The 15197-nt window shown below is 40.1% G+C and overlaps 1 protein-coding gene across 1 annotated transcript in view, besides 1 other annotated feature; it reads left to right on the forward strand.

The window, feature by feature from the left end:
• ITK (IL2 inducible T cell kinase) overlaps window positions 1-15197 on the forward strand; it is a 74346-nt gene that overhangs the window by 39383 nt on the left and 19766 nt on the right. The window contains exons 6-8 of the mRNA NM_005546.4: window positions 2641-2792; window positions 8074-8139; window positions 12118-12172. Of these exons, the coding sequence (NP_005537.3) occupies window positions 2641-2792; window positions 8074-8139; window positions 12118-12172 (273 nt within the window). The remainder of the gene's footprint in view (window positions 1-2640; window positions 2793-8073; window positions 8140-12117; window positions 12173-15197) is intronic.
• Window positions 2456-2515: an enhancer, noted in NCBI's record as "active region_23505". NCBI's record gives its function as "activates an Ori minimal core promoter by ATAC-STARR-seq in GM12878 lymphoblastoid cells {active_cell/tissue: GM12878}" and the evidence as "EXISTENCE:reporter gene assay evidence [ECO:0000049][PMID:35858748]".

The raw sequence follows: 15197 nt of genomic DNA on the forward strand, positions 1-15197 counted from the left end.
GCTATTTTGGTTCAAGATGTAAAATATCCATGGTCAGAGTGAAGGACAATCCTAGGCCTCTTTTGCCTATGGATACAAACAAGGTCGTATATCACATTGAAGTACAAATTCCGATTCCTCTTGGCCCCCTGCATCCATGGGAACTCAAGTCTTCCTCTTACAGTCCCTCCCAGTCAACCCAGGGCTTGCTGAGGGGCCACTAGAATGTGTCTGCATGTGTCCTTTCTTGCTGGCTGCCTACTAAGGCACCCTATCCCTGCCACTGCTACCTGGGCTCTCTGTGAGGGCCCCTCAGCCCCGTGGAGCTCTTCCCACCTGGGGCCAGCAGAGGTCCTGGGGGGTCAGGTTGTGCTGAGGCCTGCAGCAGAGTGGTCAGGAGGCAGGATCCTCATTCCTTTCATGCCTCACCACATCATGGAGGCTCCCAAACAACCCTTCCTGAGCCCACAGACTCAGTTTCTCCAAATGCCATCCCTTGATTTTCTCACTCAAATCTAATGGTTCCCAACCTTATCAAACTCAATCCTGCCTTTTAATGACAGATATTTTGTAAGGTTCCTTTTGTTATCCTGAAAAGAAATTTATAACTAATATAACATATATATACACAATTTTTTAAAATTAAAGTACTTAATTAAAATTTTTTGTTGCTTTGAGACAGGGTGTCACTCTGTTGCCCAGGCTGGAATGCAGTGGTGCAATCATAGCTCACTGCACCATCTGTCTCTTGGGCTCAAGCCATCCTCCCTCCTCAGCCTCCGCAGTTGCTGGGACTACAGGCACTTGCCACCACACCTGGCTAACTTTTGTATTAAACATACTTTTTAAAAAGAATCAACAAATGTTCTAACTGTAATATTTAAAAAGGAAAGAAAAATAATATATATAACAAAATATGTGTTTCTATATAAATATTGGGACATGACTGCACTGGAAGACAGAATGAAATAGTCGAATTCTTGCACTGGCAGGTAGGATCCATTGGATTTGGCATCTCGAATGCAACTGATACAAAATGTGGTATTGGGACTCAACTACAGCATTACCACCAGTGATATAATTTTCCAAAATGATGAACAACTCTTAGTAAACTTCTGAACCAAAGCATAGTCTTCCCTCAAAGTACAAGGTAGTTGCATTCTTGGGAAATCCAGTACTTTGGATAGGGTACAGCTAGGATCTAGGCTCAGGATGTTCTTATATAATTACTGTATAAGCTGGTTTCTCACCACATGAATGTTTACCAGGATATTCGAAAGTTGTGGGGAATGTGGGACTCTACAGAGCATTTTGCATTAAAGGCCTATAGCATACCTCAAACTGTGATGTTCAAAATAACCCCCATATTCCAAGCTTGCATGATTATTAGAAAAAAAAATACATGTCCAGTGTGCCCCTACAGAAAGGTACTATCATAATTTGAGGGCCCTGCTCTGACCTTTCTCTTCACAGCTATTAACCAATGAGTTGACCTGCAGTGGGATGAATGCCATAGCTCTGTTTCTTCTTCAAACATCCTTGAACACTATTCCTCCCTCCATAAGCTCTTAGAGCAAAAGCCTCAGGCCATCCACTCTTGTCCATAGCACCCCATTTACACATCCTCACAAGCTCCACAAATATCTAGATTTCAAATTCCAATCTGCAGCCGGGCACAGTGGCTCATTCCTGTACTCCCAGCACTTTGGGAGGCCGAGGCAGGAGGGTCACTTGAGCCCAGGAGTTTGAGACCAGTCTGGGCAACATAGTGAGACCCTGTCTCTCTTAAAAAAAAAAATCCGATCTGGGCTCAGCTGAGATGACATACTACATCAAAATGACGAGACTCTTTTTTCAGCTCCAGTATTTTTATGCCACTAAATGCTTCAATGTACTCAGAGAACTTGTGACTTCCTAACACTAAACCACATTCTAGTGAGGAACTTAATATTTCCCTACATTTACTCTCACAAAGTCTGCTAACCCATAGCAGGCGTGCCCATCCTGAACTCTGGCGACTATGCGCTTTGTGGTCTTTTCTTCATGTCCTCAATATGGACATGAAGAAAGGGACTGAGGAACAGAGACATCAGCAATAGAGCCTACAGGAGAAGGAAGGGAGACAGGTGCTAGAGTAGAGAGAGTCTTAGGGCTAATTCAAGTGGTAGATTGGCCAGGTCCATTTCTCCATCTGGGCCTCAGTTTCCTCATCCTAAATGAAAAAGTGTATTAAGTGATCTGTTAGAGGAATTCCAGCTCCAATAACCTATGATTCCGTAGATCTAGATAAACCCACAAATCATATTAGTAAAGCACAAACTGAAAGATTTCATGTTGACTGCATCTCCTTTGCCAAGGGCATGATGCATCCAGCAGAGAGGCTGCTGCATATAACATAGTGCAGATAGAGAAACCAGCAGACTTTTGTGAAAATCACGTGGCTGCTTGGAATTCACTGTGGTCAGAATTTACCTCATAGAATGAGCAATGTGATGAATTCCAAGCACTGATGTCTTTGTGTCATGTTCAGCGCTGTAACTCTAACTCATAAAGAAAGTCTACCAGAGGAAGGCAGACTGTCTCCCCAGACACCCCGATGAAAGGAGGCATTTTACCTCCTTTTTTATGTCTTTGCTTGGTTTTGTTGTCTCTCTTCCCCAGCGACCACTTTGGGAACCTGAAGAAACTGTGGTCATTGCCTTATATGACTACCAAACCAATGATCCTCAGGAACTCGCACTGCGGCGCAACGAAGAGTACTGCCTGCTGGACAGTTCTGAGATTCACTGGTGGAGAGTCCAGGACAGGAATGGGTAAGTCATCTTTGTGGCTGCTGTCCCCGTGTTTGAGGTGTGGTGCGAACAAATAAAATACCAGGATGATTTGTCCTATCTCCCACAGTGTAACCACAGCACTGAGGTGGGAGAAGAGAGCAGAGGCAGAAGGAAGAGGGAGGAAGAGGAAGTAGTTGAGGCTCATTTTTCCTCTTCTCAGAAGTGGCTCTGAGGCAGTCACTTGCTATGCTTGTTCCCTGCACCCCATCTCAGGCACTCCAGACCCAAACTCATCTAAAAAACCCCCTGGATTTTTCCACTGACATCTACAATTTGGGAGCTTGGCAATTTGTTCTGCAAAGTGCTATTGTTCCTGAGTGTTAAGTGAGGCTGAAGGTACATCCCATTAGGAAGTGCTTATTTTTGGTGAAAAGAAAATGTGTGTATAGAGATGGTACAGATTGATAGTTATGTTAGGACGCATCAGAAAGAAGACACTAAAGATTTAGTTACAATCGCAGTCATTGAACTAGCCATCCACATGACTCAGGGAGAAAATAAGGTTGTACAAATACTACTTTCCCACTATGCAACTTTTGAATGAAAAAAATACCAAGCATGAGATTCACACTGCCTTTTAAGGTTTTTTTTTCCTCTTAATATATCCGATGTATTAACCCATGCTCTGGAATATTTTCCAGAATCTGAGTTCAATAGTTGCATCAATCCAGCCATAAATGTACTCTAAATTGCAAATTCCCTTGTTGAACACTTAGGTTATCTCCAATATTTTGCAAATATTAACAACACTGCAACGAACATCTTTGTATATTAATATTAGGGGTTTAAATGTTTTCAAGGTATGAGGTTATTATTAATTTTAAAGTATAAAAAAGAAAACTGTCCTTGCAACATATAGATCATTTATGTCAACATTTTACTTAACTAACAGTAGAGAGAAATATACATAAAAAATAAGCCACCCTCCATTTGCCCCCACATCAAGTCCAAAAGTAATCACTATTTGGCCGGGTGCACTGGCTCACGCCTGTAATCCCAGCAGTTTGGGAGGCCAAGGTGAGTGCATCACTTGAGGCCAGGAGTTTGAGACCAGCCTGGCCAACATGGTGAAACCCTGTCTCTACTAAAAATACAAAAATTAGCATGGTGTGGTGGCTCAAGCCTGTAATCCCAGCTACTCCACTGGCTGAAGCATGAAAATCACTTGAACCCAGGAGGGAGAGGTTGCAGTGAGCCAAGATGGTGCCACTTCACTCTAGCCTGAGCGACAGAGCAAGACTCTGTCTCAAAAAAAAAAAAAAAGTGATCACTATTAATACCTTCTTGTGTATCATAAATAAAAGTTATACCTGTGCAAATGCATCCTTTTTTCACTTGTACCAAGTGGATCCATTCTGTTCTGCATCTTGCTTTTAATTTTTAATGATATTAATACACATTGAAGATCTTTTCATACCAGCACATGCAAATCTACCTCATTTTTAAAATAGTTGCATGGGCCGGCCGCAGTGGCTCAGGCCTGTAATCCCAGCACTTTGATTGGGAGGCCAAGGTGGGCTGATCACCTGAGGTCAGGAGTTCAAGACCAACCTGGCCAACATGGTGAAACCCCATCTCTACTAAAAATACAAGAAATTAGCTGGGTGTGGTGGCAGGCGCCTGTGATTCCAGCTACTCGGGAGGCTGGGGCAGGAGAATCGCTTGAACCTGGGAGGTGGAGGTTGCAGTGGGCCAAGCTCACACCACTGCACTCCAGCCTGGGAGACAGAATGAGAATCCATCTCAAAAATAATCATAATAATAATAATTGCACAATCTTAGAATGTATGATTGTATTATTAGTATTTAAATAATCCTTTATGGTGAGACATTTAGTTGCCAGTTTATTTGTTTCCTCTGCTGTTTCAAACAAGGCTTTAATGAAGATCTTGTATTCATGTATCTTGGCCATCTTTGGAATACAAACATATATATATGATATATATTTATCACATTAGTTTTCCTTTTCTTTTTTTTGAGACAGGGTCTTGCTCTGTCACCCAGGTTGGAGCACAGTGGCACTCTCACAGTTCACTGCAGCCTTGACCTCTCAGGCTCAAGTGATCCTCCCATCTCAGACCCCTACAGAGCTGAGACTATAGGCACGCACCACCATGCCCAGATAATTTTTGAATTTTTTGTAGAAATGGGGTCTCATTATGTTGCCCGGGCTTGTCTCAAACTACTGTACTCGAGAAATTCTCCCGCTTTAGCCTCCCAAAGTAGTTGGGATTACAGGCATAAGCCACCATACCTGGCCTATATGTCACATTTCTAACTGTGCAACAGTTAAGTCAGAGTATGTGATATCTTAATTTTGCCACATAATTTCCTCACAAAGCTTGCCAAATTTACCTTCCTGCTAACAGAGTTATGGAAGTGCCAAGACTGGGTATCATTGAACTTTTAAAAAAAGTCAATCTGATGGGTTAAAAAAAAAAAAGAGGGGCACAAATATCTTTAAGGATAAGACTTTACCTTTTACATACACCAGAATTTACATTTTCAAGGTGCCTTCTCTTTAAGTAGGCTTATCAACCCCATTACAGGGGGAGGAAAGACAGAAGTGAGACAGGGTAAAACGTGATGAGATTCAGAACCATGGTTTGAGAGGCAGTGTGGTTTGCTAGCTAAGAACAGACCCCAACTCCCCTCGTCTGGAACCTCCCTTTCTAGTTGATTCATGAAGACAATTGAGCTAGTCACATCACCTTCTCTCTGTCCATTATAGACAGGCCCATATCCGAAATAGGTTCAAGACTGTCTACAGGGTCTACAAACACCGAAGGGACCTAGAAATTCATTAGTTCAATCAACTGACTTTACTTAGCACACCTAATGTACCAGGAAATTTGTTCTCCTAGGCCTTACTTCCCCAAATGAGAGTTAAACCCTTCATTTGGTGACCTGTGGAAAGGCTTAACTATGCACTTCAAAGGGCATCAAAGAGGACACCCCAGCAGCCAGTCAGCATTATGGGAATTTCCCCAGTTTGCTTTGTGATAGTGTGGTATAGTGGAAAGCACACAAGATGGGGAGACAGAGGACTTGGACTTTATCAGCTACTCTTGTCATATGAAGCTGAGGATTCACAGATGACCATGTCATATGTGTGACCATGTCATTCACAGATGACCAAGTCACTTTTCCTCTGTGAATCCATTTCGTGAACTGTAAAATGCAGCTGATAATGTCAGCTTTGTCTACGTCACAGTGTTGAGAAAATCAATGAGATAATGGAAGTGAAAGAGCTTTGGAAATTCTACATATCCACATACAACTATGAGAGTTACCATTTGTGTAGATGACCCAGCTTTGGGTGGCATATGCTATTCAAAAGCAAAATATTATTTGATGCATTAATATAATTGTAAAAGTATAGTATGGCAAAAGTAGACATAATTAAGGGAATTCCAAGAGTGATACAGAAGGAATGGCAAATTTCAGAATAAGCTGACTTTCTTCCGTTGGAATGGCTGCCTTGAGCACTGTATGAAGGATGATTCTGAGGGCAGATGTCCAATTCTCCAAAGAAAGTATGCCATGATTGATTAGCAATGTCTGCCAGAGGAGTAAAATATAAGATGATCATCCTGTATTTGGCACCTACAGTCTTGATTTCTTCACTCTTCACAACTCTGAACTGATTACACATTTCCCATAAACATAATCACTAGATTGAAAATTGGCCTTATTATAAGAAAATTAAAACATGTTATGGAATAAAGAGCAATAAACTATCAGGCATCTTTTTTTGTTTTGTTTTGTTTTTTTGTTTTTTTGAGACAGAGTCTTGCTCTGTCACCCAGGCCAGAGTGCAGTGGCACGATCTCAGCTCATGGCAACCTCCACACCACTGCCCCCACCCGCCACCACCCAGGTTAGGTGAGTCTCATGCCTCAATCTCCCAAGTAGCTGAGACTACAGGTGCATGCCACCACACCTGGCTAATTTTTATATATTTTCTAGAGACAGGGTTTCACCATGTTGCCCAGGTTTGTCTCAAACTCCTGAGCTCAAGTGATCCACCCACCTCAGCCTCCCAAAGTACTAGGATTACAGGTGTGAGCCACCACACCCAGCCTATCAGTCATCTTTTTACAGATTGACAGAGTATGGAGTATCTACTTAAACTAGATTTTAAGTATAATATAGTTTAAGCCCTTCATTTGACGGGTATAAAGTCAGAGGTCCAGAGAGTAGAAGGGATGCCGCTTTCACCCTGTGGTATTAAATGAGATAATGAATGTGAAAGTGCTTTGAAAACTACAAAGTTATACACAAATGTAAAGAAGTTTGATATTCTTATTTTGTTTATTATGTTTTTTGTTTATGCACAATTATTAATTCTTGCTCAAAAGTGACTCCTGATCCCCAAATCTAGCCTGGCTTTATCCTTTTTTTCTCGTGTTTATACCGTTCATATCTGAAGAAGCTCAATTAGGGAGGCCTTAAATTAAAAAGCTTACAATGCCAACTGGTAGTGTCTTTTAGAATCTGTGGTTGGAAAGTCATCTTTTATATTTTAATTATTTTGGTTTCCTGACTATAAAATGATAGTACTAAAGTGGAAAAAATGTTGATTATCACACAAAAATGTTTCCTTATAGAAAATAGACACTGAATATTAATCTTTTTTTCCAGTAGAGGAAATTTCACAATGAGGAGAACAGCAAACAGAGCTTTTTAAGTAAAATCGCCACTTCTTTTTTTATTATGTTTCATATTTCAGTAGTGAAATCAACCTGCCTTTAACAGACAAGTTGCTATTATTTTTTACCAATTCCTTTTTTTTTTTTTTTTTTTTTTTTTTGAGACAGAGTCTCGCTCTGTTGCCCAGGCTGGAGAGCAGTGGCACGATCTCGGCTCACTGCACCCTCCACCTCCTGGGTTCAAGCGATTCTTGTGCCTCAGCCTCCCGAGTAGCTGGGACTACAGGCATGTACCACCACACCCGGCTAATTTTTTTGTGTGTGTGTAGTTTTAGTAGAGACAGGGTTTCAGCATATTGGCCAGGCTGGTCTCAAACTCTTGACCTCGTGATCCACCTGCCTCGGCCTCCAAAAGTGCTGGGATTACAGGCATGAGCCACCGCCCCCGGCCTACCAATTCTTGTATTCTAAACTTTAAAATGTCTTATCGCAAATGCCAAATAATGTGATATTCCCCAATCTTTAAATGACTTTTAATGGATTAAACCTATAAAATGATATAAAACTTAGTTCTATGTAAGTCTAAACATTAATTTTCCTTTTAACAGGCATGAAGGATATGTACCAAGCAGTTATCTGGTGGAAAAATCTCCAAATAATCTGGAAACCTATGAGTAAGATATTTTATTTGTTTTTGGAAAATACAGTCCTAAGGAATCCTCCTTAAGTTAGGAATAAATTATTGGTTGACTGTAAAAATACCAGATGATCCCTACTGCAACAGCAATGTTCACACATACCATCCAGCTCTTGATACCTAAATAAGGCTTTCCACTAAAAAAACCAGGACTTTCTGGAGAAAAGGCTTGGGGTAGGGATAGAACAAAAAGGAACTTGGAACATCTTTTTGTGCCAGAAAGTAAAGAAGTACTTAAAAAGAAATTTTTCTTCTTTAATTTTTTTTTTTGAGACAGGGTCTCACTGTCACCCAGGCTGGAGTGCAATAGTGTGATCTCGGCTCATCGCAACCTCAACCTACTGGGCTCAAGCAATCCTCAGCCTCCCAAGTAGCTGGAACTACAGGCACATGCCACCATGTCCAGCTAATTTGTAAATTTTTTGTAGAGACAGGATCTCACTAGGTTGCCCAGGCTGGTCTTTAACTTCCGGGCTCTAGTGATCCTCCCATTATGGCCTCCCAAACTGCTGGGATCACAGGTATGAACCGCTGTGCCCAGACAAAAAGATGTGGGCGTGTCAGATGAGCACAGAAGTTGGCTCTAACAGGCTCCATTTGATGAAATCTGGGACAATTTGAGTATCAAAATAAATAATGACTATTAAAATAAGTAATAGACTACAAACCATTGAATAATATAAGAATCTGTAATAAATAGATAGACTGATAGATAAATAAAGAAGTAAATAAATAAAAAGGAAAGGGTTTTTTCTTATAGTAGAATGCCAACTAATGAATGATAAAGTTTAAAAATCATCATTTTGTAACCCAGAGTATCAACTGATTCAGGCAAGAATCCTCAATGAATGTCACCACTAGCAAGTTAAAGTTTGATGAGCTGTGGCATATTTACATAGTCTCAAAGTATCTCCTCACAAATCACTTGTAATTACAAAGTGGAGGTAACTAGCAGGCCCGTCTGAAACAGTCAATCCAAATGCACATAAATAATGGAGCAAAAAGGTATCTTGTGTCTCCTTATGTGATGCACTGAGAAGGGCACACATCACTTCTGTGATATTCCTGCTCAAAAAATGCACAACATAAATTTACTTATAAGGATATATTCATAAGGATATATTAGACAAATCCAAATTAGGGAATATTCTCTAAAATTAATGTCCTGGGCTCTTCAAAAAAAAATGTTAATATCAGGAAAGACACAACAGGCTGAGAAATTGGTCCACATTAAAAAAGACTAAAGAGGTCGGGCGCAGTGGCCCACACCTGTAGTCTCAACACTTTGGGAGGCTGAGGCAGGTGGATCACCTGAGATCAGGAGTTTGAGACCAGGCTGACCAACATGGTGAAACCACCGTCTCTACTAAAAATACAGAATTATCCGGGTGTGATGGCACACGCCTGTAGTCCCAGATACTTGGGAGGCTGAGGCAGGAGAATTGCTTGAACCCAGGAGGCAGAGGTTGCTGTGAGCCAAGATTGCACCATTGAACTCCAGCCTGGGCAACAAGAGCGAAACTCCATCTCAAAAAAAATAATAGTAATAGATTAAAGACACATGGTAACTAAATACAGTGGTGATCCTGGGCTGGATCTTGACCCATACAAAAAAATATTTTTTGTTATAATATACATTATTGGGACAACCGATACAATTTGAATAAGATCTGCAGTTAAGTAATAGTGTTATGTAGATCTTAAATCTCATGACTTCGGTAATTGTACTGTGGTTAGATAAGTGTATACTCTGTGTCTTAGGAAATAGACACAGAAGTACTTAGGAATAAAAGTCAATTCTCAAATAGTTCAGAAGAAAAGTCAATCTATGTCTATCTAAAGAGAATAGTAAAGCAAATGTATAAAATATCAGCAATTGGCTCATCTGGGTTATGTGTATATGATGGTTCTTTTACACTATTTTACAGCTTTTCTGTAAGTTTGAAATTATTTAAAAATTTTAAAAAATTAATTACTCACTAAATATAAGATACCAGGCCTAAAGAATAAAGCTAATGAGGACACCTATTAACGCATTAGGGTTCTTAATTCAAATGTGGTCGTGTTATTTGTTGCTGAAATTCTAGTAGATTCTTTAGTGAAGAACCGTCATTTTCTGGAGTCTCTCAACCTTGTTTGTTTTGATAAAGTATGTGTGAGTAGCCCTTCCCTCAGTGAACAGAAGGGTCATCAGTTCTAAGAATTTTTGAGCTGAAATAAAACATATAGGGTATATGCTTAAATAAAATAAAAAATCTTTATAGGCAATACCTTTGAAGAAAAAACAATAAGCATTTATTTCAAATGACCACTAGGCTATGTAGTTTTGTTTGTTCAACTTTGCTTTTAATCAGAATCTCTTTGTTTATGATCAAAGGAGCAAACTCAAAATTCCAACAGGATAAGCAATAGGAAATGGTGAGGTCTGGAGCAAATAAAAAAAGTCATTCACCCACCTAAAGGTATTTTAAGCCATTTTAAAAATAAAACACTATACCATGCAAACAAAACAATCTAGTTATACTGTGCACTTTCAGTTTGCATTCTCCAGATTATGAATCTCAGCTGGAAAATAACATGACTTACAAGCAAACATTCAGATATTTAGTATATAACTGGATATATGAAAGATTCCAGTATGATAACTTTTTATTCGTGAACTTAGTGTTGTCTAGTTTCAGGTGAGATCTGCCTAAGTACTTAAAAATGTACCACCTGGTAACATAGTCATGGGTTGGTAAATTGAATGGATTCAGGTCTCCTGCCTTGGTTTGCAGCCATGACCTTGGGCAAGTTACCTCACCCTATTTGAGTTCTGATCCCTTCTCCATAAAATGAATGCTCAGACAAGATGAAGGAAGGCAAATCATGACTCTCTTGCTGGCATTCCCTTCCCATGCACTGAACTCAGGCAGACATCACCCTTTGATAGTGAAGCTATTTACCCACCATGCTGGTGACAACCTTTTCAATGCACAGCTCTAGGCAGCCACTACTATCGCTGATGGCCTGTGTGTGAGATGAAGCCTATATTTTCCCAATCCTCGATTAGATAATCTCTAAGAGCCCATGTTGGTGTCATGTACTGTTCTGTCTTATAATGTTCAAAACCTCTAACGAATCCATGAATTCCTTTAGTCATGGCTACTCTCAAGTAGCCAAACAAGTTTGTTAAGTGGTATTCCTTCCCTACCCAGAACTTCTCTCCTCCTGCATTTATTAATTTTCAAAACTGATTATTAACCGATGATCAGTCTGCCTCCTCTTACCTAAAAAGCAGCCAGAGAGGTTAGGATGTGGCTAAATATTGTTAACAACATAAAAAAAAAACTTCATCCCTAAAAATCATTTATATTCTTCTTTACCATTTTATAGTTGTTTTTCACCAGACAACAAAATTATAAAAATAATGCAATTACTTGGCAGAATGTCTGGAAGAGCAGTCTTAAAGAGGAAAATACTACAGTTGTTTTAAAAGGATATTTGCTAAACTTTCAAACTGGTATTACAATTTTATAGCTGCACTAGCACCCTCCTCCTTATAACGAACTGTCTACTGACTTATGAAACGAAGAGGAAAATTAATGTTTTCTAAAACTTTATTTTAGAAAATTTCCAATGTATACAAAAGTAAAGATAATAATATAATGAATATCCATGTTCCCCAAACCTAGCATCAACAATGATCAGTATTTTGCCAATTCTGTTTCATATGTTTCTTTCCAATTAAACATTTTAATACCTGGAAATGAATCATGCATTTGCTTTTGAGTTTAAACGCACTGGTAGAAACATACGTGTGCAGACTTGTTAAATAAATAAAATACACTTAAAATTTTTTTAAAGCACTGGTAGAAATAGAAAATGACCATATGATTTTCTAGCATTGTCTTTTATAAGTAAATAATGAAACTTTAAAATATGTCATTGACATATGACTTTTCCTTGCTTTCAGGTGGTACAATAAGAGTATCAGCCGAGACAAAGCTGAAAAACTTCTTTTGGACACAGTAAGTCTCCTTAACCTGTCTTTTGACATAAAATAAAATGAATTAAGTGCACTGTCTCATGTCTGGAATCCCAGCGATTTGGCAGGCCAAGGTGGGAGGATCACTTGAGCCCAGGAGTTCAAGGTTACAGTGAGCTATCATTGTACCACTGCACTTCAGCCTGGGCAAGATCAAGACCCTGTCAAAAGAAGAAAGAGAGGAAGGGAGGGAGGGAGGGAGGGAAGAAAGGTAAAAATGAAAGAAAGAAAGAATTGTACTGTTTTTTCAGCTTTGCTGCGTTTTATGCCAATGCAGTGGGTTGACATGTTGGATTAACGATAGTTTTCATGTCTGGTGAAAATATTCTGGGAATTTACAGGACTAGCAAACCACAGGATAAGAAACCTGGGCTTGGCATTGACGTGGAGACATCATCACCGCTGCAGCAGTCTTTGTGAGTGGTGATGGCTGGCCATGGGGTGCCATCAGGGCTGGTCAGTCATGCCTTCTTCTCAGTGTGGGTCAGAGATGTCTGTGACTCTGATTCGGCCTGACTCAGCTGTGAGTCCAGAGGAAACATAGCACTTGTTTTAACTTACATTTCATCAACAGTTATCCTCTAAAGCCATGCAGTGTGCATAGCAGGACCGATTTTACTCAGGGATGTCAAGATTAAGGGCGAAAGGGAAGAGAAAAGTAGAAAAGATGGTATGGTGGGGCAGGTACTGGGCTCTAGTTCCTGTTATGTCACCAACTCATTGGGTGACTTTGGGGACCTCTCTTCTTCCTTCTGGGCCTCGGTTTCTCAGTGAGTAGAAGGGCAGAATTGGATTAAGTCAGGGATCACAGTTACCCAGCCCTCATCCTGCCACTTTCTGCTCCTTGTCCTGTGACCAACACAGCTGATCTCAGTCCATGGCATTGGGACTTTATTGGGAAACAAGACAAATGCAGAAAAAAGAGCAAGGGAATAATCTAAAATAAACTAAGGTAAACTCCAGAGGAGTTGGGAAAGATTCCATGAAGAAAAAGAAGTTGAGCTGAGTCCTTACTGAACTCTGGTCTCTCCTTGGCTCTACATCAACTCAGCACTTAATTATTTCCTGTGGGTTCCCCAAAAAAACACACATTAGAATTGCTGGGAAATGTTCAAAAATACAGATTCCCAGGTCCCACCCCAGATCCACAGAATCAGAGTCTCTAGTGTTAGTTCCCGGGAATCTGTACTTTCTCAAGTTAAATTTACAATGCAAATGTAGCCAACTCAAACCTGGCGCTGCCAGGCTGTGTTATTGGATAACAAAGTAGAACTTGATTAATATGAACTAATTGAGTGGAGTGCAAAATTAGCTAAAACTCTGAATTACACTGTGTTTAAACAAGTATAGTTTTGTTATATTAATCACACATCAGTTAATGACGTCTATGGAGCACTTCAAACAGCCCACATTAATGACTTCTAAAAGATGATTCCTGTATTACAGCAGTTCTTGTGAGGTGCTAAGTGCTAAGTACATTTTGCTTGCTCTGGCAGTTGAAACATTCCTCCTTACTGATACATATATATATATATATATATATATATATATATTTTTTTTTTTTTTTTTTTTTTTTTTTTTTTTTTTGAGACAGAGTCTCCCTCTGTCACCCAGGCTAGCATGTAGTGGCATGATCTCGGCTTACTGCAACCTCCGCTGCCTGGGTTCGAGTGATTCTCCTGCCTCAGCCTCCTAAGTAGCTGGGATTACAGGCATGTGCCATCACACCTAACTCATTTTTGTATTTTTACTAGAGACGGGGTGTCGCCCTGTTGGCCAGACTGGTCTCAAAACTCCTGACCTCAGGTGATCCGCCTGCCTTGGCCTCCCAGAGTGCTGGGATTACAGGCATGAGCCACCACGCCCAGCCTCCTTACTAATATTTTGAGCTACTTTACCAAATTCTCTTCTCCTCCTTAGGTAAATATGAGGGCAAACATCAATGGGTCCCTGTCAGACTCAGCCCAGATTCTGGATAGAATTGAATGACATTTTCTTGCTATTTTTCACTTTTTTTGTGTGCTGTTTTTGAAACAATAGCTGTATTATTTCTAGGTGTATTTAGAGTCTTTTTATCTAATAAGTATAGGACCTTTAAGAGATGAATTCCTGCATAGTATTCCATGGCGTATATGTGCCACATTTTCTTTGTCCAGTCTATCATTGATGGGAATTTGGGTTGGTAAAAGGATGAGTTCATGTCCTTTGCAGGGACATGGATAAAGCTGGAAAACATCATTCTCAGCAAACTAACACAGGAATAGAAAACCAAACACTGCATGTTCTCACTCATAAGTGGGAGATGAACAACAAGAACACATGGACACATCACACACCAGGAACATGGATACATCACACACCAGGGTCTGTCAGTGGGTGGGGGGCTAGGGGAGAGATAGGATTAGGAGAAATACCTAATGTAGATGACAGGTTTATGGGTGCAGCAAACCACCATGGCACATGTATACCCATGTAACAAACCTTCATGTTCTGCACATGTACCCCAGAACTTCAAGTATAATAATAATAAAAAAAGAGATGAATTGATTCATTACACCTTTTTATGAACTAAAACTCCTGGTGTACTGCCCCATACATATTTCGCCACTAGACTATAAACAATTTATCTTGTTCCTGCTGTACTTAGGCACCCAAAAGTGTATCTAGCACCTTGTAGTTGTTCAATAAATATTTGTTGAATGAATGAATGAATACACTGAAGGCTTAATAAATGTTTTTAAACTAACAACTCCACTTAAGGGGGACCTGGGTGATCATAAGCATCACTGCAGGAGCTTTTTAAAAATACAAATTCCTGGACTCCAGGCCTATCCAGTCAGAACCTCAAGAGGTGGCACCCAAGTTATTCTGGGACTTACCTACATTTGGGAGCCACTAAAAAGCATCTCCTAATGTGCCATATCAGTTCTTCCAATGTTGCCTCCTCCCAGAAGTCTCTCATGCCTTCCCTCGCCCTAGCTATGGAACGTGGTTTTTCTTGTCTTTGA

Source organism: Homo sapiens, chromosome 5 (assembly GCF_000001405.40).
Source record: "Homo sapiens chromosome 5, GRCh38.p14 Primary Assembly".
NCBI classification, from domain to species: Eukaryota; Metazoa; Chordata; class Mammalia; order Primates; family Hominidae; genus Homo; species Homo sapiens.